This window comes from Homo sapiens, chromosome 14 (genome assembly GCF_000001405.40).
Source record: "Homo sapiens chromosome 14, GRCh38.p14 Primary Assembly".
In the NCBI taxonomy this organism is placed as follows: Eukaryota; Metazoa; Chordata; class Mammalia; order Primates; family Hominidae; genus Homo; species Homo sapiens.
The window spans coordinates 89,346,160-89,367,477 of record NC_000014.9 but is presented as its reverse complement, the minus strand read 5'-3'; the positions used below and the strand labels follow the sequence as shown (position 1 = coordinate 89,367,477).

General features: G+C 46.2%; 1 protein-coding gene and 1 long non-coding RNA gene across 3 annotated transcripts in view, besides 4 other annotated features; one reads left to right on the top strand and one right to left on the bottom strand.

Moving 5' to 3' along the window:
• The window catches only part of FOXN3 (forkhead box N3), a 462,989-nt gene that overhangs the window by 251,688 nt on the left and 189,983 nt on the right, over nucleotides 1-21,318 (top strand). For both annotated transcript variants that reach the window (NM_001085471.2, NM_005197.4), the window contains exon 3: nucleotides 16,670-16,806. In NM_001085471.2, the coding sequence (NP_001078940.1) occupies nucleotides 16,670-16,806 (137 nt within the window). The remainder of the gene's footprint in view (nucleotides 1-16,669; nucleotides 16,807-21,318) is intronic.
• Nucleotides 1,964-2,013: an enhancer, noted in NCBI's record as "active region_8860". NCBI's record gives its function as "activates an Ori minimal core promoter by ATAC-STARR-seq in GM12878 lymphoblastoid cells {active_cell/tissue: GM12878}" and the evidence as "EXISTENCE:reporter gene assay evidence [ECO:0000049][PMID:35858748]".
• Nucleotides 2,470-17,191, bottom strand: FOXN3-AS3 (FOXN3 antisense RNA 3). The gene is made up of 2 exons (NR_188029.1): nucleotides 16,985-17,191; nucleotides 2,470-3,084 (listed from the first exon to the last, which is right to left on the bottom strand). It is a non-coding gene; the product is annotated as an FOXN3 antisense RNA 3 (long non-coding RNA).
• Nucleotides 13,707-13,806: an enhancer, noted in NCBI's record as "active region_8859". NCBI's record gives its function as "activates an Ori minimal core promoter by ATAC-STARR-seq in GM12878 lymphoblastoid cells {active_cell/tissue: GM12878}" and the evidence as "EXISTENCE:reporter gene assay evidence [ECO:0000049][PMID:35858748]".
• Nucleotides 14,148-14,863: an enhancer, noted in NCBI's record as "H3K27ac-H3K4me1 hESC enhancer chr14:89818959-89819674 (GRCh37/hg19 assembly coordinates)". NCBI's record gives its function as "activates a minimal SCP1, AML or CMV promoter by ChIP-STARR-seq in primed H9 embryonic stem cells {active_cell/tissue: H9 hESC(primed)}" and the evidence as "EXISTENCE:reporter gene assay evidence [ECO:0000049][PMID:30033119]".
• Nucleotides 16,013-16,062: a silencer, noted in NCBI's record as "silent region_5998". NCBI's record gives its function as "represses an Ori minimal core promoter by ATAC-STARR-seq in GM12878 lymphoblastoid cells {active_cell/tissue: GM12878}" and the evidence as "EXISTENCE:reporter gene assay evidence [ECO:0000049][PMID:35858748]".

Here is a 21,318-nt window from a genome sequence, read left to right as displayed (position 1 = left end):
GACAAGAACGCTGGAGGAATCGATAACACTGACAATGTTATTTGGTCCCTGCAGCTTCTCACATGTGGGTCGGAGATGGTTTCGGATTTATCTTTGGAGCCGGGTGCCGCCACATCAGGGTGCAGTCGGTGTTAGACACCCTTTGTTGAAAGGGATCTGCTTCATGGTTGGAGTGAGTGCTTGTTCTAGAATTGAGAGGCACTGTAGAGGCAGTGTCTCCTTAAAAGTGGATGTGTTGGTTGGCCGGATGCTGTGGCTAAAAGCCAGGCTCACAACCCAGGAACTCCCAGGAAAGTTCCCTGTTGAAAATTAGGGAAGATGGGTGACTGGTGATCTCGTGGCCAATGGCCACTCCGCAAGAACAAACACCAAACAACCCAGTGTCTGTGTTTCACTGAGAGAGAAGGGCTCATGATTATTTATTAAAATAAAAAAATCATAACTGAAGCTCTCTGGCTTAGTACACACACCCTGTCACTGTTACCTGGCCAGGTACTTTGAACAACTTCCAGTTATGGAAATATGGTGATCAAATTATGTGCCAATTTGATAAGATCACATTGGAACATTTAAAAATAGATGAGTAACTACGGACAACCAGAAGATAAAGTGGCAGTAGGTGGGCCAGTTGTAATCCAACCAAGGGCATCCATGTGTCAGGCCCACGTTACCTTTATTGCCGTCCATAAAACCTGACTCGTTTGTTACTGTGTGCAGCATGGAAATCACCTTAAAGAAAGTGGAGGTACTGGAAGGAGTGCGCGCCCAGTTGCAGCCTGAAGTCAGAGCTGGCTGTCAGCTGCCCCCTCCACTTCATTCAATATGCTTAGAAATTCTTTTACTAGGCCTTGAGCTTTAAAAATGAATATTTATGTATTTAAACACATTATTTATGTAAATGCAATGAGTGGTGAATTTTATTTCCCCTCATCCCTACTAGCACTGTCAGCTTGCCTTTCAAACTTTTTTTTAAAAAAGGCACGAAGAGGGCAATTTAATGTATGTCTTTTACTTTACCATTTATCCTCTTTGTAATTTGCTTATGCAATTTCGACTTTAAGATTGTGGGTGTGATACAAACAACTGTTAGAAAAAAAGAGGAACATGCCCACGTTCCAGACAAGTTTACCACATCATTGTACATTCCTGTTTCCTATCAGGAGACAAAACTTTTCAAATGTGCATGTTTTTTTCTATAATAAAGTTTTTTTTTTTTTCTTTTTTTGAGACGGAGTCTCGCTCTGTCGCCCAGGCTGGAGTGCAGTGGTGCAATCTCGGCTCACTGCAAACTCCGCCTCCCGGGTTCATGCCATTCTCCTGCCTCAGCCTCCCGAGTAGCTGGGACTACAGGCATCCGCCACCACACCAGGCTAATTTTTTTGTATTTTTCAGTAGAGACGGGGTTTCACCATGTTAGCCAGGATGGTCTCAATCTCCTGACCTCGTGATCCACCCGCCTCGGCCTCCCAAAGTGCTGGGATTACAGTCGTGAGCCACTGGGCTCGGCCTATAATAAAGTTATTACAGAATAACTTTATGTTAGTTATTCTAGTTACTTTATGTTTCTCTGTAATAATTATTTAACTTTCATGTTAAATTTTAAAATCTCTCCATGTGTACTTTGTGTGTACGTGAGAGTTTATGGCTTCATGCCACATAATATATTGAGTTCATTTGAGTAATAGTTTGACTCTTTGAAGTGGCATAGCATGGCAGCTATTAGAAGTATATAAAACGATCCGCTTTTTAGCTTCCTGTGTGTTTTGCATGTGTTTGAAGTTTTTTTAAATGCTTCTGTGCCTCTACCCTTTTTAGTCAGCCTATGTCATGCGATGAGGTTTCAGATGGAGAAGAAGAGTTAAACCCTTATTTGCTAAAGGCCCTCCCAAGACAGAGTGGTAAAACTAATTTGGGAGGATCCTAAGATTTAGTTGGATAAAACCGATTTAGCTAGATAGTGATTTTAAAGATGCCACCTCTTTGGCCTTCTGACTTGGAGTATGAGGGGTGTGTTTCTGTTTCCTTTTCTTTATTAGAACTTAGCAGTGTAGAGTTTGACAGTATTTCAAAGTCAATATAATTTGGATGTTTTCATGATCATTTTATGATTGATCGTTGTTAGCGTGCTAGCTCTTGACTGCTTTTGGCACTTGGGAAACAATAGTGTAGAGAGTACAAAAAAATAACTATTTTCAACCCAAACAAATACTGAGTAGATCTGTCAGCCTCGGGAGGTGACACACTGCAGATGTGTGCTTCCTGTAGCCTCCCCCCTGTGAAAATGACATTGACGTGTGGTGGGGAGAAGGAGGAAGAAGCAGGGCTCTCTCAAAATAGTGAGTAACGGAACAGAGATTCCTGCAAAGCGGAAGCTCGGGGAAATTCTGCGTTTCTTTTGTAATTCCCGCCCCCACACAACTCTGTCACAGCAGGCTTTTCCTAGAGATTAATTTGGTTTTAGGCAAATCATGGGATTATTTTGGTTTTATTTAGGTGTTGATGCAAGCAGATTATTGATTTTTCCTGCGTCCATTCAAACACGCATAAGCACACACACATACCGTCCAGCTTCTCTACTACAGAAGAAGCATTTACAAGAGTCCTTACAATTCTACCCATGGGCCTAAAAGAATTCCTTCTCCACCTGTTCCACATGCGTTCCCTTGCAGATGGAGGGGCGTTCTGAGGTATATGAGGTGGATTTCTGAAAGACCTGTGGGGCATTAAAATCATCACAGAGCTCAGGTGTCTGAATATCACATAAGTGACACACTAATAGTGATTTCCGTCTTTATAGCTTTTAGAACACATCTGTAAAATAATAGCAAGACAGGTGCAAGAGTGGAAGCCTTTTCATATCTGATATTTAGAGGACATGTCGGTGAGTTTGAAATATTCTGTGGCTGGGATTATCAGGGACTCTGTATCCAGCTCCTGATGCCAAGAACCTGGTGCTGTCTGCAGGGCGCCAGAGCCTCTCCTCCCTGCCTGTTGGTGCTGATCCCAGGAACTAGGGCTACACTGAGGCTCATGGGGCCAGGATCTTGAGAAAGAAATGATAACTTCTCTTTTCCATCTTTCCTTCTGAAAAAAAACAAAAACAAAAACAAAAACAAAAACAAAACAAAAAAACAAACAAAAAGAAACTATTAGAGAGCAAGGTTGGACATAAAACTGAAACTTTCTCTCAGTTATTACAGCAATCTTTTTTTTTTCTTTTTTAATCTAAACTGCTGGAGTAATTGTCGATCTTGTTATGGGAATAGACAATAAGGTATCTAGAAAAAAATTCTTTGTAATCAGTTTTGTTCTTTTTGCCTCTCTTCTTCCCTCTTTTATGTACTTGGCTGGTTTTCTTTTTAAATTTTTGAAGTGTAAACATTTCCCCAATGTCGTTAGACTGTAAATGATAGAATTTTAGAAAATGAAGGGCCTTCAGGAATCAGTCACTTGCTAAACATTTTGATATGGAAGAATATATATATATATTATATATATATATATATATATATATATATATATATATATATTTTACAGACAGGGTCTTGCTCAGTTACCCAGGCTGGAGTACAGTGGCTCGATCATAGCTCACTGCAGCCTTGACCTCCTAGGCTCAAGCAGTCCTCCCATCTCAGCCTCCCAAAAGTCCTGTGACCAGGCATGAGCCACTGCACCTGGCCTTCCTTCCTTACATATTTTGAAGCAGAGGCTGTAAGTTCATGGTGAATAACTTGGCTCTGTTCTGTTTGTTCTTCTGCTAGTACCACCTAACTTCTACTGTGACGTCCCTTGACAGAGAGGAGAATTAAGTGGATTAACTGCCTTTCCCATGCTGAGTATGGTGTTAGGTATATTGTATACGTCATCATCCCATTTAAGCCCAAAATGACTTTTGGAGAAGATGGTATTTTTGCCAATATACAGATGAAGAGATTGTGAAGCTAAGAGGACAAGTGGTTTGTCCATCCAGTAACACAGCAAGTTAGCAGTGTAGACAAGAACCATACCACTTGATCCCCTTGTTGGGAGCTACATGTGGGGATTCTTTCCAGAATGTTCTCTGGGAAAGTCCTGGCATTGCCTGTGGCCCCTCATGGGCACATAGTCATGGGTTAGTTTGTAGTATTTGTCTCTCATGATCTTGAAAGAGACACATGACCCTGGGAACTTGGACCCCATGCAGGGGTTTGGTGGGAAGGCCAGAGGAGGTATGGTGACAAGAACCCAGCCTCTAAGAGGCTGGGGATGTGGGGGTGTTACTGTGGGGATAGCCCAGGTGGGAGCTGGAGGGGCTTCCTGAGCAGGGATGTGAGGCCCCAGGAGGAGCTGGTGCACATGTGTGTGCACGCCTGCAGTTTTAACCCCTTCCTCCCCCAGGGCTCATCTCTTTTGTCCTCTGTTGTCTGGCAGCCCATTGGCCAGCTTGTGTAATCCTTTGTAATCACTTCTTGTTTGTGTTCCTCTAGAGGTTCCCCACCTTAAGGAAACGGACCCTGCCTTTGTGTCACAGGGCCCTGCCCAACTCCTGTGCTGTTAGCTCTTTACAAGCGGTGTTCAGGGACCTGCTTCAAAATCAGGCCCAACGATCCACCTTTCGTTAGGCCCACGGAAGTTTGAATGGGTTTGTGACCCACTGAAGTCTGCATTCTGGCCTGGTGGTGGTGGTGGTGGAGGTGGTGGTGGAGATGGTGGTGGTGGTGGTGGTGGTGGTGGTGGTGGTGGTGGTGGTGGAGATGGTGGTGGAGGTGGTGGTGGAGATGGTGGTGGTGGTGGTGGTGGTGGTGGTGGTGGTGGAGATGGTGGTGGAGGTGGTGGTGGAGATGGTGGTGGTGGTGGTGGAGATGGTGGTGGAGGTGGTGGTGGTCGTAGAGATGGTGGTGGTGGTGGTGGTCGTAGAGATGGTGGTGGTGGTGGTGGTGGAGGTGGTGGTGGAGATGGTGGTGGTGGTGGTCGTAGAGATGGTGGTGGTGGTGGTGGAGATGGTGGTGGTGGTGGTGGTGGTGGTGGAGGAGGAGGTGGTGGAGCTGGTGCTGGAGGTGGTGGTGGTGGTGGTGGAGGAGGAGGAGGTGGTGGTGGTGCTGGAGGTGGTGGTGGTGGAGGTGGTGGTGGAGGAGGAGGAGGAGGTGGTGGTGGTGCTGGAGGTGGTGGTGGTAGAGGTGGTGCTGGAGGTGGTGGTGGTGGTGGTGGAGGTGGTGGTGGTGGAGGAGGAGGAGGTGGTGGTGGTGCTGGAGGTGGTGGTGGTGGAGGTGGTGCTGGAGGTGGTGGTGCTGGAGGTGGTAGTGGTGGAGGTGGTGGTGGAGGTGGTGCTGGAGGTGGTGGTGGTGGAGGTGGTGCTGGAGGTGGTAGTGGTGGAGGTGGTGGTGGAGGTGGTGCTGGAGGTGGTAGTGGTGGAGGTGGTGCTGGAGGTGGTAGTGGTGGAGGTGGTGGTGGAGGTGGTGGTGCTGGAGGTGGTAGTGGTGGAGGTGGTGGTGGAGGTGGTGCTGGAGGTGGTAGTGGTGGAGGTGGTGGTGGAGGTGGTGCTGGAGGTGGTAGTGGTGGAGGTGGTGCTGGAGGTGGTGGTGCTGGAGGTGGTAGTGGTGGAGGTGGTGGTGGAGGTGGTGCTGGAGGTGGTGGTGGTGGAGGTAGTGCTGGAGGTGGTAGTGGTGGAGGTGGTGGTGGAGGTGGTGGTGGAGGTGGTGGTGGTGGAGGTGGTGGTGCTGGAGGTGGTGGTGGTGGAGGTGGTGGTGGAGGTGGTGGTGGAGGTGGTGGTGGTGGAGGTAGTGCTGGAGGTGGTAGTGGTGGAGGTGGTGGTGGAGGTGGTGGTGGAGGTGGTGCTGGAGGTGGTGGTGGTGGAGGTGGTGGTGGAGGTGGTGGTGGAGGTGGTGGTGGTGGAGGTAGTGCTGGAGGTGGTAGTGGTGGAGGTGGTGGTGGAGGTGGTGGTGGAGGTGGTGCTGGAGGTGGTGGTGGTGGAGGTGGTGGTGGAGGTGGTAGTGGTGGAGGTGGTGGTGGAGGTGGTGCTGGAGGTGGTGGTGGTGGAGGTGGTGCTGGAGGTGGTAGTGGTAGGAGGTGGTGGTGGAGGTGGTGGTGGTGGAGGTGGTGCTGGAGGTGGTGGTGGTGGAGGTGGTGCTGGAGGTGGTGGTGGAGGTGGTGCTGGAGGTGGTGGTGGTGGAGGTGGTGCTGGAGGTGGTGGTGGTGGAGGTGGTGCTGGAGGTGGTGGTGGTGGAGGTGGTGGTGGTGGTGGAGGTGGTGCTGGAGGTGGTGGTGGTGGAGGTGGTGGTGGTGGAGGTGGTGGTGGTGGTGCTGGAGGTGGTGGTGGTGGAGGTGGTGCTGGAGGTAGTGCTGGAGGTGGTGGTGGTGGAGGTGGTGCTGGAGGTGGTAGTGGTGGAGGTGGTGGTGGTGGTGGTGCTGGAGGTGGTGGTGGTGGAGGTGGTGCTGGAGGTAGTGCTGGAGGTGGTGGTGGTGGAGGTGGTGGTGGAGGTGGTGGTGGAGGTGGTGGTGGAGGTGGTGCTGGAGGTGGTAGTGGTGGAGGTGGTGCTGGAGGTGGTGGTGGTGGAGGTGGTGGTGGTGGAGGTGGTGCTGGAGGTGGTGGTGGTGGAGGTGGTGGTGGTGGAGGTGGTGGTGGAGGTGGTGGTGGAGGTGGTGGTGGAGGTGGTGCTGGAGGTGGTAGTGGTGGAGGTGGTGGTGGAGGTGGTGCTGGAGGTGGTGGTGGTGGAGGTGGTGGTGGAGGTGGTAGTGGTGGAGGTGGTGGTGGAGGTGGTGCTGGAGGTGGTGGTGGTGGAGGTAGTGCTGGAGGTGGTGGTAGCTGAGGATGAGTTTTGTGGAAACATGGGGGAACCTGCGGCTGTGAGGGTATCAGCTCTTGCCCCAGCCTTCCTTCCTTCCCTCCTTCCCTCCTTCCCTCCCTCTCTCCCTTTCTTCTTCTCTCTCTCTCTCTCCTCACCTCCTTCCGTCACTCCCTCTGTGTCCCTTTTTTTCCTTCTCTCTCTCACCGTTTTTCCCTCCCTTCCTCTTTCCTTCCCCTCTTTCTCCTTCCCTCCCTCTCCCTCTCATCCTTTCCCTCCTCCCTTCCTCCCTCTCTTTTTACCTCTCTCCCTGTCTTCCTGCCTCCCTCCCTCCCTTTCCCTTTCTCCCTCCCTCCCTCCCTCCCTTTCTCTTTCTCCCTCTTTCTTTCCTTCTCTTTCTTCCCCTCTCTCTCTCCATCCCTCTCTCTTCCTCTCTCATCCCTCCCTCTTTCCCTCTCTCCTTCCTCCTTTAGGGGCAGCTGGGCCCTGAGGAGTTGAGCCAGAGCCAGGTCCAGAGGAGGAGGCAGTTTTGGCGGGAGGGGAGGGCATTTTGTGCAGTGGGGGCAGAAACGCAAGGCCAGTGTGCAGGGGCCCCGGGGAATTAACTGGGCACTCATAGTGAAATAAACCTAGGCCGTTTCCAGGAGAAGCCTTCAAGCCTGCCAGATCCTGGGAGACCGTGGCATATGCTGGACAGAATGACAGCTTGATGAGGAGTACCAACTCTAGGCCACCTCTCTATAAAGTTACAAGTATCTTTTGGTGATGAGGAAGTGGACCATATCCGCTCCAGTTCCCACCATGAGCTCAAGGATCCGTGAGAGAACAGTGGCCTCAGAGGCCCAGCTGCCCCAGCCAGGGAGACCCTTCTCTTATCCACCTCTGCCCACTCCAGCTTTATTCTCTAAGTCAGGCTGTTGCCCTGTCCTGCTCCCTTGCAGTATCGGGGTCAGGGCCTCTCCTCCTTAAGGAAGGAGGTGGCAGGTGGTAAGCCCTTTGGGGCAGGACCTCTCTAGGAAGCCCTGGACTGCCATACCGGCCGGAGCATCTCTCAGTGTGCACGAAGACATGACTCAAAGCAAGTAGCTTTCTCAAAGTCCCATGTCCTTCTTGGCACTACTCCAGTGGCTGGCTCTTTGCTTTGTTCTATTTCGATCCTTCCATTTCCACCTCTATCTTAGTGCATCTGAGACAAAACGCTTCTTTTGGACCAAGGAAATTAACATCAGACTATGGAAAACAAATAGTCATGTGCAATTTTTTTAGATGAAATCTGCATGATTTCACAATTTGACAAGTACCTATTCCATCAGGCAGGCACTGAATGGTTTGGAGCTCAGTGTCAAGGAAAGCTGGCTATTTAATATTTTGTTGCCATCATAATAACAAGAGCTGATTTTTTTTTTTTTTAATTTTATTTTGAGATGGAGTCTCGCTCTGTTGCCCAGGCTGGAGTGCAGTGGCGTGATCTCGGCTCACTGCAACCTCCACCTCCTGGGTTCAAGCGATTCTCCTGCCTCAGCCTCCCAAGTAGCTGGGATTATAGGCACCTGTCACCATGCCCAGCTAATTTTTTGTATTTTTAGCAGAGACAGGTTTCACCATGTTGACTAGGCTGGTCTCAAACTCCTCAGGTGATCCTCTGCCTTCCAAAGTGCTGGGATTATAGGTGTGAACCACTGCACCTGGCCCGAGAGCTGATATTTATTGAACTGTTACCATGTGCCAAGCAAGCACAATATTATCTCCTTTAATCCTCACAACAATCTTGTGAAGCAGGTATTATTAATTCACTCCCATTTTATGGATGAAAAATTTGAAGCTCAGAGCAGTTATGTATTTTGCCCAAGTCCACACAGCTGAGAAATTGAAACAAGACTCAGACTCGGGTCTGTCTGACTCCAATGTCCATGTCAGCCAAGTAAGGGCTCCCCTTTGAAAGCACAATAATGTGTTTCTCACTGACCCCACACATGGGTGGTACTGGCCTAGAACAGAAAGCTGGCTGTGTTGAAACTGTGAAGGAGTTGGAGACATGAGGACCCATGTATTCTAATTAATCTGTAATCACACGTTCCCAAAGCATAGAATGATGGGCCTTTGGGATGATTTCATCTCAGCACCTAATTTATAGATGAGGAAACTAAGACCCGGGGTGGGGAGTGAGCTGCATGTATGCCATGATTACTCAAGGCAGTGATGGTAGGTGCAGCCCAACCAGGTATGTGTTCTTATTACGGATGGGGTAACTTACTCTAGTCCGTGTCTGTATCCCCCAATGGGGGTCTTCCTTTTCGACCTTGGAGCACTTGACTTAGGCCATCATCCACACCCCACCCATCCCACAGGACCCAGCCCAAATCCCTTAACCCTGAAAACTCCTTCTCTGGTTTTTAAGTTTCCTAAAACTGGGAGTTGTGAGTCTCAGTCCTGGGTACCAGTATTGGAGCTGTAGGGCAGTGGGCAGTGAACTATGGATAATGTTTTTGCAAATAAGGTCTTACTGAAGCCCAGCCACGTTTATCTGTTTACATTGATGGTTGCTTTTGTGCTATGATGGCAGAGTTGGGTTGTTGCAACAGAGACCATGTGACCTACAGAGACTATAGAATGTACTTTGAGAAGCCGTTGGACCTGGCCATGCATTAGAGGACCTGGTAACAGAAAGAGAAGTTGTTTAAGAAAAGTTTACTAACCCCTATTACAGAGGAACCAGTTGATGTTAAACCTCTAAAGCCAGACAATCTCAGGCCTACCATGACATTTATGAGCTTCTGCTAGAAAGGTTGGGGTCAATGAGGGTATAGCAGAGGGGAGAGAGGTGGCTTATGCAGTCCATTCCTCCAGATACAGTCGCGCGTTGCATAATAGCGAGAATAAGTTTTGAGAAATACGTCGTTAGGCAATTGCATCATCATGAGAACATCACAAAGTATATGTACACAAACCCAGTTAGTATATGTTTATATACATATTTTTTCATATGGAAAATCAAATGATCCCACACCATTACTGAATATCAATTACTTCTCCTACTTGATCTGCATTGCCAGTGTCAACTGCTGTTTATCAGGTTTCTAGCTCTCTCTCTCTCTCTTTTTTTTTTTTGAGATGGAGTTTCACTCTTGTTTCCCAGGCTGGAGTGCAGTGGCACGATCTCGGCTCACCGCAACCTTCGCCTCCCAGGTTGAAGCGATTCTCTTGCCTCAGGCTCCCAAGTAGCTGGGATTACAGGTGCATGCCACCGTGCCCGGCTAATTTTTTGTATTTTTAGTTGAGATGGTGTCTCACCATGTTGGCCAGGCTGGTCTTGAACTCCTGACCTCAGATGATCCACCCGCTTCAGCCTCCTGAAGTGTTGGGATTACAGGCGTGAGCCACCACGCCCTGCTCTATCTCCTTTTTTTAAGAAAGAGACAGGGTCTTGCTCTGTTGCCCAGGTTGGGGTGCAGTGGCACAATCATAGCTCACTGTAACCTCAACTCCTGGGCTCAAGCAGCAGTCTAGCTAATTTTTATTTGTATTTTTTGTAGACATGGGGTCTCACTGTATTGCCCAGGCTGGTCTCAGACTCCCGGACTCATGCTGTCCTTCTGCCTTGGCCTCCTAAAGTGCTGGGATTACAGGTGTGAGCCGCTAACTGGCCTCAGAGTACATTCGGGAGCTGTCCTCCTTTCTCCGTCTCATTGCTGCCCACCTGAACCAACACCCATGGTCATCTTGGTCCTGGACCGTCATATCAGTTCTCTGCAGGTGCTCTTGCCACTTCCAGCCCATTTATTTCTCACACAGCAGCAACTTCCTTTCTTCTAACTCATGGCTTATTCTGTTTCCTTCCTAGCAGGTATTACAGTCTGTCATAATCTTGCTTATTTATTTCTTTACTTACTGTGTTTTTTCCCATCTATAATCCAAGCTTCAGGAGGTCGGTCTCCTTTTTGTATTGTTTTGTATTCACAAGTGGACCCTTCATGGTGCCTGGCATGTAGTAGGCACCACAGGAATGAATGAATGAATGCATGAGCGTATGAATGAAGGAATGAATGAAGGTGGGTAGTGTTAGAAGCACCCTCCAAAATGGTGTGTCAGAAACATCAAAAGCTATTGTTTCAAGATCACCAACACACACCCAGCTCCCCACTCCATTTCGTTTTCAGTTTTTGTCTTGTTTTAATATCTCATCAGCTTTACAGGGTTACAATTGTCTTAAATATTTCTGAAGTGTAAATATCATCTGCATAATAAGGTTGTTATAAAATGTAAACTTTCTGTGTTGTTTTAATTTAATTTAATTTAATTATTATTATTATATATTTTTTTGAGATCGAGTCTCGCTCTGCCGCCCAGGCTGGAGTGCAATGGCACGATTTTGGCTCACTGCAACCTCCGCCTCCAGGGTTCAAGTGATTCTCCCGCCTCAGCCTCCCAAGTAGCTGGGATTACAGGCACCCTCCATCATGCCTGGCTAATTTTTGTATTTTTGTAGAGATGGGGTTTTATCATGTTGGCCAGGCTGGTCTTGAACTCCTGACCTCAGGTGATCTGTCCACCTCGGCCTCCCAAAGTGCTGGGATTACAGGTGTGAGCCACCATGCCTGGCCTGTCTTAATTTTAAAGTCTAAAAATCATACTTTTTTTTTTTTGGTCCTTTTTTCTTTTTTCTTTTTTTTTCTTTTCATACCTGAATGTTCTGCACAAACTGAAATTGTTACAGGCTATCCCTCCCTGGCCAGGGCAGAACAGGCCTGGGCAGAGGTGGTGCCTGCTCCACTTTGACATGGGGCCTGCCTCCTTATCCCCGTTCTTTAGGCACTGCCCCAGAGCCACGTGTAAGTCCCCCACTGTTGCTAATAGGGGGCTTTCTTCCTCACAAGTGGTGAGAAGGGGGAAAAAACACAACCAGACACTACTGTCCTAGATCAGTGGATACCAAACTTTGTTGACCCGGCTTCCCAGTAAGAAGTGTATGTTACTTGGTGATCAGTAAACATGTATATACACAACTATGCAAATACAAATTTCACTATATGTTACTGCAGATATATGGTAGTCCATTCTATTTGGTTCTAGTTTGTTACATTCTGTTCCATTAAAACAGTGCTGCTTATGATCCATTCCGTTCATTTCATGACCCATGAATGTATCTGGCCCACGGTTTGAATAACAATGTTTAAAGTATAGGCTGGGCGTAGTGGCTCATGCCTGTATTTCCAGCACTTTGGGAGGCCAAGGCAGACGGATCACCTGAGGTCAGGAGTTCGAGACCAGCCTGGCCAATATGGCGAAACCCCGTCTCTACTAAAAATACAAAAAAAAAAGAAAATAGTCGGGCATAGTGGCGGGCACCTGTAATCCCAGCCTCTCGGGAGACTGAGGCGGGAGAATCGCTTGAACCCGGGAGGCGGAGGTTGCAGTGAGCTGAGATTGCGCCACTGCATTCCAGCCTGGGCACGACAGAGTGAGACTCCATTTCCACAAAAAGAAAAAAAAAAATTACTTTTTTTTTTTTTTTTTACATTTTTGCTAACCATTTCTTCCTACAATATGGGCTCTTGTTTGCTTTTCTTTTTGTGCATTGATTTTTTATTTTTAATAGAGAGTTGATTTTTATTCCCCCAGGTGGTTTTTAATTTTAAAAGAAACTTGGGCTCATCCATAATTTTTTTTACTCATTTTTCCATGTAATTTTTCTCAGTTTTTTTTCTGGGGGTGTTAGTGTATATATACACACAAAAATGTGAGTGTGAATACACACGCATACTTTCCTATAAATGAATATTCTTCGCTTATTATTTTGAATTCCCCGACACTTAATGGTGTGTGGCCCTCACAGTTATTTATTTATTTATTTATTTATTTTTTGAGACGGAGTCTCACTCTGTCACCCAGGCTGGAGTGCAATGGCACGATCTCAGCTCACTGCAACCTCTGCCTCCTGGGTTCAAGAGATTATCCTGCTTCAGCCTCTTAAGTAGCTGGGATTACAGGCACCCACCACAAAACCCAGCTAATTATGGTATTTTTAGTAGAGATGGGGTTTCACCATGTTAGTCAGGCTGGTTTCGAACTCCTGACCTCAGGTGATCCACCCACCTCGGCCTCCCAAAGTGCTGGGATTACAGGCATGAGCCACCGCACCTGGCCTATTTCTTTTCTTTTTTTTTTTTTTTTTTAATAAAAAGCACTCCACGGCCGGGCGCAGTGGCTCACGCCTGTAATCCCAGCACTTTGGGGAGGCCAAGGTGGGCGGATCACTTCAGGTTAGGAGTTTGAGACCAGCCTGGCCAACATGGAGAAACCCTGTCTCTCCTAAAAGTACAGAAATTAGCCGGGCGTGGTGGCGGGTGCCTGTAATCCCAGCTACTCAGGAGGCTGAGGCAGGAGAGGCTTGAACCTGGGAGGCGGAGATTGCAATGAGCCAAGATTGTGCCACTGCGCTCCAGCCTGGGCAACAAGAGCGAGACTCTGTCTAAGAAAAAACAAACAAAAAAAACCAAACAAAAAAAGCATTCCATATTCTTGTCTTCAGATGAGATGCAGATATTTTTCTAAGAAAGCTCCAACTCTCAAACTTACTACACAACTATAATCAAGTTATAGCCTTCTCTCTCCTATTAGAAACATTAAATGTAATTTTTCCTGGCCTAAGAAACTTGAGCATTCTATCCTTTGCATATTTCCATTTTTAAAGTTTTCAAGTAAACCATTTTACTACTCCAAACTGTTACATGAAACCCAAGAAAATGCTTGAAAATGCAGGAGTTCAAGACCAGCCTGGCCAACATGGTGAAACCCCATCTCTTTCCTTAAAAAAAAAAAGTTAGCCAGGCATGGTGATGCACGCCTGTAATACCAACTACTTGGTAGGCTGAGGCACGAGAATCACTTGAACCTGGGAGGGTGAGGTTGCAGTGAGCCGATATCACATCACTGCACTCCATCCTGGGTGACAGAATGAGACTGTCTCAAAAAAAAAATTTTTTTTGGGAGATGGCCACAATGAACTGACCAAGTATGGAATTAAACCTCAGCTTGATGTTGACAGTGCAGAGACCTGGGCAAAAGACTTTCAGCAGCCAGGTAGTCATGAGTCAGTGATAGTAGCTTCCCTAGCAAGGGAGAAGTCCCAGTAGTGAGTGTGGGGTGTGGGGTTCATAGAAAGCAGATGCAGGGAGTGATGAAAATAGAGGGGGAGCTGAGAATGTCAAAAAGCTCTTCCCAGTGAATTTGTTGAGCCAGGACCACCACTGCATTCAAATAGATGATCATTTTATCTTCACTCGTCCCATCTGTTTGCTGGAGGCCCTTCCCACCGCTGCTGTTGGAGATGAAAATCAATCAGATATGGTTCAATGAAAGACATTGTAAGCCAGTTTCATTGTCTTTCTTGTGTCCAAAAGGAGATTTTCATGATGCTGTCTGCCATTTATTGAGTACCTGTAGGTAGGGCCGCTACTGAAGGTGTTTTATATTATGCCATCTCTGAGCCTCCCAGCTATCTCTAAGTGGGTCACTGTTTTACCAGTGAGGAAGCAAGACTTCCCATGGCGCTGTGATTTGTGCAGGGCCACTCAGGAAACGTCTGTGTGGCTCCAGATCACCTGTTCTTACTATTCTTCAGCCTGCCTCTCTGCATCTGGATCAATTACCTTGTGAATGTCCTGCACAGTCCTGGGGGTTTATTCTGCTTAGCTTTTGTTTTTATTTTTATGTATTTATTTGTTTTGAGATGGCGTTTCACTGTTCTTGCCCCAGCTGGAGTGCAAATGGTGCGATCTCCGCTCGCTGCAGCTTCTGGCTCCTGGGTTCAATCTGCTTAGCTTTTAAATGGTAGCATACATTAATATGGGTATACAAGGGTACAGTAAACAAACACTTAGGTTAGGATTAGGAGAAACCACGTTCTTGGCTTACGGTTATTTCCCTGAGAAGGCCAACCGGTTGTCCTTCATTTCTTTGTCATATTATTTTTGTAGCGTTAAGATTAAATGGTCCCACCCTGAAAGCCACCATGATGAGAACAAAAGCCATTGGGTTTCCAGAATTGAGACAATATCATTGCAGAAATGTTTGGGTCACATGTCAGCCATGGCCCTCAGTGTAGCTATTGCTGGTTTGGAGCCTTGGGTGCAAGGGATCAGAAAGGCAGGTCCCACTGGCCCAGGGCTCCACCGGGAGCCTTTGATGGAATCAGGCCAGACCCCTACTGTTGACAGGATTTGGTGGTTTGTTTTATGTTTTCCAAATTTGGTAGTTACCTGTCTCCTGTCTTTCCCCCCAAACCTCTCCACTCCTTAGCTTTTGGCTTTCTTCTGCACAGCTCTTTTCCAAAGGAAGGGATGAAGCTTCCAGGGCAGATTATTGAGTGGCCCGCCTGATTTACTTGCAAAGTCTCACTGCTCCCCCTGAACTATTCTGGGTTTGAGAATGTGTGCGTGAAAGGAAAAAACACGTAGGAATGTTGAATTTTCCAAAGTTGAAATCTTTCAGGTCTTTAAACATCCGGTTGGTTAAACTGAGAACATTGATGTTTAAGCATAGAGTGTCCAGCCAGACTCTGACCTGTGTCTGGGGTCAGGCCTGCACGTGGGGGTGGGTGACTAGAGTGGTCAGAGGTTCCAGCCCCTGGCTGTGGTTTTGAGCAATTCTCCTATTCTCATTGCACCAGAAAGAGTTAATTCCAGTTGCACGGCTTGCTGATGTTGTTGATAATAAAGTATTTTAATGGGCTCTGTGAATAATGTTTGTAAGGAAACTACTCGGGTGAACTGATGATGAAACACAGATTTTTTTAAACTTTTAAAAAGATTTTAGGAGTAACTTGTTTTTACAGCTCCTTCAGTGGGATTTTCTTGGATTGTCCCCTTCCCCCATGTTAGTTAAACAGCTTCTTGTTTGCTTTCTAAATGTTGGAGGACAACATCAATCTTACTGTTGGCTGAAAGCAGGAGGTGGGCACGGGTTTATGTAATTTAACTTCTTTTCTCTGCAAATCAGTAAATATTTACAAATGACCTTATCAAACAGTTTGGGTACATTCGGTCACTTGAAAGTGTGCGGCCAGAGGAACGATTGCCCGTCGGCCTGCTGCCAGTTCCGGGGGGCCTCAAAGGAAGGACTTACATTTTTAAAAATAGGCTGTCCATAGACCAAACGCTTCACAGGAAGTGGGCCTCACAGGAAGCCTCCCTCTCTCCACAGAACGGTTTTAGAAAATTTGCATTTTAAAGTTTGACTTCTAAAGATTCAACTCTTAATGGCTGGAGTCGATTGCTGGGAACTGAGGAATCCAAAAAATAAATAGTGGATTCTGAGTTGGGCTTTACCATTGCTGCCTGAGTTCTTTTGTTGCTTAGGGAAGGTAATTACAGAATTCTATTCCAAGAGTAAATGTCATTCTTTTGTGAGTAAGCTGGAAAGAAACAAGGGGATTACTTTTCTGTTTTTATAAAATGATCCCGATGTCATATGGTTTTAAAACATAACTAAATTTCTGGAGCAGAGATGGACTTTTGGGGGTGTCTCGGCCCTCTTTTTTTTTTCCCCAAACTTTAGAAATCTGACACAGTTAAATTCATTTTTAGAAGAGAATGCACGTGTTCTTCAATGTTGACGCTGAAAAACAATGAGATTCTCATTTTATTGGTAGTTTGGGTATGAAAATTGTAATATTGTTGTATCACCATAACCTGGTAATAATATGTTCATTTTGCCTATCAAACATAATACAAGTAAGATTGAAGTGCATTTTATGGAGTTCTACTGTCAGTATAATATTTAAGGCTGGCAAACAGTCAACAAATGAGAAGCTTTTAAAAATAAAGAAGTGATAATAGCTATACATCTACTTATTGCAAAGTACTTAATAATTCTCTATTAATGCCTTTGTATTTTAATTTTCTTTGCAGAGTATTGGGAAAGGGTCGTTGTGGTGCATAGACCCAGAGTATAGACAAAATCTAATTCAGGCTTTGAAAAAGACACCTTATCACCCACACCCACACGTGTTCAATACACCTCCCACCTGTCCTCAGGCATATCAAAGGTAAGCAATTCAGACTTCTTTTTTTTGGTCTACTGAAATGGCATTATTTTGGCAGAGACCTGCGCGGAAATTAATTTAATAGGCCGTACGAGATTTTAAAAATAACTGCAGGTAAATGAGAAAGAAATTAAGTATTATTAGGAGGCATATCCACTGTTGTATTTCCTACAAACCTTACCGCTGCTGCAGCGTCAGAGGAATGTGCTTCCAGAAGGCTTCATGGTGGGTGAAATCATGTCTTCCTGGGTAGAAACATTTACAAAGAAAAGTCGACAGCTTTCACATCTCGGTGTGTGTCATGTTTTGTTGGGATAAAAGTACAGGAACGAGTCAAGCAGGCAACTCCATCATCCCCTCATCTGGCCGGTCTCTGCAGACATTCAGTGGAGGCTCACTCAGTTGTCCCCACTGTTGTCTTTCGCAGTCTCCATGTAGACGGTGCTCCCAGGTGACCATTTTGTTGTGGTTACTTGGTCTTTGCTTCTTCAAGGAGAACAGTAGAAACAATAGAGACATTTTATCCTCCTCACATGCCCATTTGTTTGAGACAGTAAGGTCATGGGTACCATTTTTACAAATATATCATTGGAAGGGAGGGTAAGTAGCCTGTCACTTTTTTAAAAAGTGTCTTAATGTTAGATTCCAAAAGAGAGCCAAATAATCAGAACCAAATTTTTAAGATCAATTTTTATGAATACATAGTACTTGAATTTGAAGTGCATTCCTCAGTTCTACAAAAAAATATTTAAAAATGTATAGAAATGTTTCTATCGTAACCACCTAGTTAAGAGGAATTATCCTTGGACTGCAAGTTGAGGTTAATTAGGGATGGCATGATGTCATAGACTTCAGGAATTTTACAGTCCACTTCTTTGCAGATTCTTTTCCTAGTCTGCTGTTTGTTCTGCAGGAGGGAGCACAAAGTGATCTTCTGAAATAGCATTAATGAAGTTCTTCTGCATCTCAGTTGAGAAGCATTCCATCACAGGCCCTAGACAATCAGTCTTCAGCAAGAGACAGGGAGGAACAGCTGGGCTCTCTGAGAAGACTGCTGTATGTCTGCCTTTGCTAGGCGATTAGCGTGATGGTACCCATAGCAACTGGAGCGTCTCCATAGTAACGCGTAGCCGAGACAGGTGCAGTTGCATCACAAGGCTGTTTGTTGCCTGGCAAAAGGACAGGCCATTAGTACTTAGATATACACTGTTGCCTTAGAAACAAATAACCTTACATAGCAACTACAGTTGATTTGAAAGGTTTGGTGTGTGGGGGGGAAGGTTGTAGCAGCTTTTGTCTGTGTTCATAAAAATCAGTGGAAGCATACTTTATTCGAAATGACAACTTGAGGTCATATAGCTGTAGGAGAGAAAGTGGGATTTTCCAAAGCAGCCCAGCCAACATAGTAGACATGTCCAGAAGGACAGAGCCATATGCTTGGTTTTCTCCTTGTGGCCATAGCCACTCCCCAAATGGAAGAGAACCAGGATTGGAGTGGAGAATTGCCGATGTACAAGGTTGGTGAAGGAGGACGTGACACTAATTATTGAAATATTTCCCAGATTCTCATGTTTCTTTGTCATTCTACCCCCACCCCCCGACTCTCCAAGCTGCATGGAATACCCTTCTCTGGGTTTTCCACTCTGCACCTCAGAAGTATTTCATCTCCCTTTGCTTCTAGGAAGTTAAGAACATGAGTGTTACTCACTGGGTCATGTCATTGGTTCCTTTAGACCAGTATTTTGTTGCCAAATGTGACCCCGAGGGAAACACAGTAATTATTTAATAATTCGAAGGATTATAGAGGAGCTCTGGGGGTTGGAACAGGAATGCATATTCAGGCGAGAGGCATTCTGAGCTGGCCTTAGCTTAATGACTTCATTTGATTTTTAATATAGACATAAAAATGCAGATGAACCAGAGCTTTTGTAATGAAAATCATTTCCGAAGGAATATTTCAGACCCCACTCCGTCACCTCCAGCCTTTATCCCCAGTTGACTGAGGGGGGAAAAAAAACCAGTTTCTGCTTCTGCCCATGCGGTGCTTAGATTTCACCTCCACAGAGGTCACTGGCGGTGGAGGGAGATGACAGATGAGATTCTAGTCTGCCTCTTCCATGCCTTAAGTCCATGAGAACAAGTCACTTTCTCTTTCCTGGGGACTGTCATCCCTTCATCTGAAAGCTGAGAGTTTGCTTCAGGATCCTCTAGTGTGTGAAATTGCACTGAAGCCACTGAACACTGGGTAATTGTACAATATTTCTGTGTCTTAACAGTGATGTGGCATTTGGTTCAATTCTAAGCCATCAGGCCACTTGTTGACATGACCTAGAGAAGATGGAAGTGAAACACCGAGTCATTAAACAGGGACCCCAAAATGCCGAATTGACGTGATCTGGCTGGGTCCACTGTGATGCGGGGAATCACCCGTCAGCCCCTTGCTGGATCGCTGTGAGGGGTACCTGGGAAGTGCTTGGCTTTCATGGGGCTGGTACTTAGCATCCTGAAGAAGATGGTGATTATACTAGATGGGCGGTTATTGCTAGGACTTGCAGGTGTGCTTGGCAAATGTCACTCTGAACTGAGCTGCAGGTGGCTGGAAATGCTGCGGGAAAAGCGAGACATTTGAGAGCACTGCCCAGACCTTGCTCACATCCAAATACCATGCTAAATATTGAGATGTGTAGACCCGTGCCTCTGTTTTCCTTTTTTGCTTTTTTTTGAGACGGAGTCTTGCTCTCTCTCCAGGCTGGAGTGCAGCGGTGCAATCTTGGCTCACTGCAACCTCCGCCTCCTGGGTTCAAGGGATTCTTCTGCCTCAGCCGCCTGAGAGTAGCTGGGACTACAGGCAGGCGCCACCACACCCAGCTAATTTTTGTATTTTTCGTAGAGATGGGGTTTTACCTTGTTGGCCAGGCTGGTCTCAATCTCTTGAACTCATGATCCGCCCGCCTCGGCCTCCCAAAGTGCTGGGATTACAGGCGTGAGCCACCGCGCCCGGCCCATGCCTCTGTTTTCTAAAGTGCCCTTTTGAATGTATGTTAGGATGTTCTTCCACACCTGCTTTGTTGATACCAAATTTGTGAATTGTTTTTAATCGAAGTGCAGAGCTCAGCGTGGAGTACTTCAAACCAAGTGACTTAAACAACAGAAACTTACTGTCTCAAGGTTCTGGAGGCTGGAAGTCCGAGACCAATGTGTCGGCAGGGTTGGTTCCTTCTGTGGGCTGTGAGGGAGGGTCTGTTCCACCCCTCTCTCCTAGCTTCTGGTGGTTTACTGGCATTTTGCTGGAATGCTTTTGGCCTTCCTTGGCCTGTCGAAACATCACTCTGATTTCTGCCTTCACCTTCACTTGGCATTCGTTTTCTCCATGTGGTGTCTATGTCCAAATTTTCCCTTCTTGTAAGGACACACTGGTCGTATTGGCTTAGAGGCCCATCTTTCTCCCGTAATAATTCATCCTATTTAACTAATTACATTTTCAATGGCCCTGTTCCCAAATAAGGTCATGTTCAGATGTACTGGGGGCTAGATCTTCAATGTAGGAATTTTGGGGAGGCATAAATCACCCCATAGCAACCCTTTTCTTAAGGGAGACATTTTGCTGATGAATATATGGAGAAGCAGAAAGTAAGGAAATATTTAAAGAACAAAATGGTGGGGTGGGGGGCAGGGGTGTCAAAGGGATTCGCCTGAAGTTGCTCCTAGTAGCCAAAGCTGGGACGGTGATGAGCAGCAAAATAAATAACATAGTGTTGGATTATAACTGGAAATATAAAATAAATACCTATGAGTCCAGACTGATAGAAATAAATGATTGAATAAATAAACAAACAAATAAATGAGAGAAGAGACACAATTCCCATTCAGAGGGTTCCAAATGCTTGATGTAGCTCTTTCTCCACTGAAAGAGGTGGGACGGAACTCTCCACTCCTGGAATGGCTGCACTTAATGACCTACTTCTAAAGATGAGAGCATGGAAAAGGTTGGAAAAGGGAGTTTGGAGTGGACAAACCTGGTGAACAGTATGCCACAGGTGATGAAAGTACCATCCTCAGTGATGTGATGTTGATACCGGGTACCTCTCGTAGGACATCATAAATTTGGCACTTCAGCTTTGTGGTCTTTCTCCCCAAACTCATAACCCCTGTCTAGTCATGGGAAAAACATCAAACAATGATTTTGTCCTTCAGCAGGGACATTCTACAAAAATAACTTGATCCTCACTCCTCAAAGCCCCAAGGTCATCAGAAACAGGGAAAGTCTTAGAATCTATTACAGACCAGAGGAGACTAAGAAGACATGATGAGCAAATGTGTCCTATGATGTCCTGGATGGGATCCTGGAACAGAAAAAGGACATTAGGGGAAAATGTGCAAAATATGAATTAACTGTGCAGTTTAGTTAATAGTAATAGTAGTATGCTGCATGTTTATAGCAGCACAATTTGCTGCTGCAAAGATATGGAACCAACCTAAATGCCCATCAACCTATGAGTAGATAAGGAAAATGTG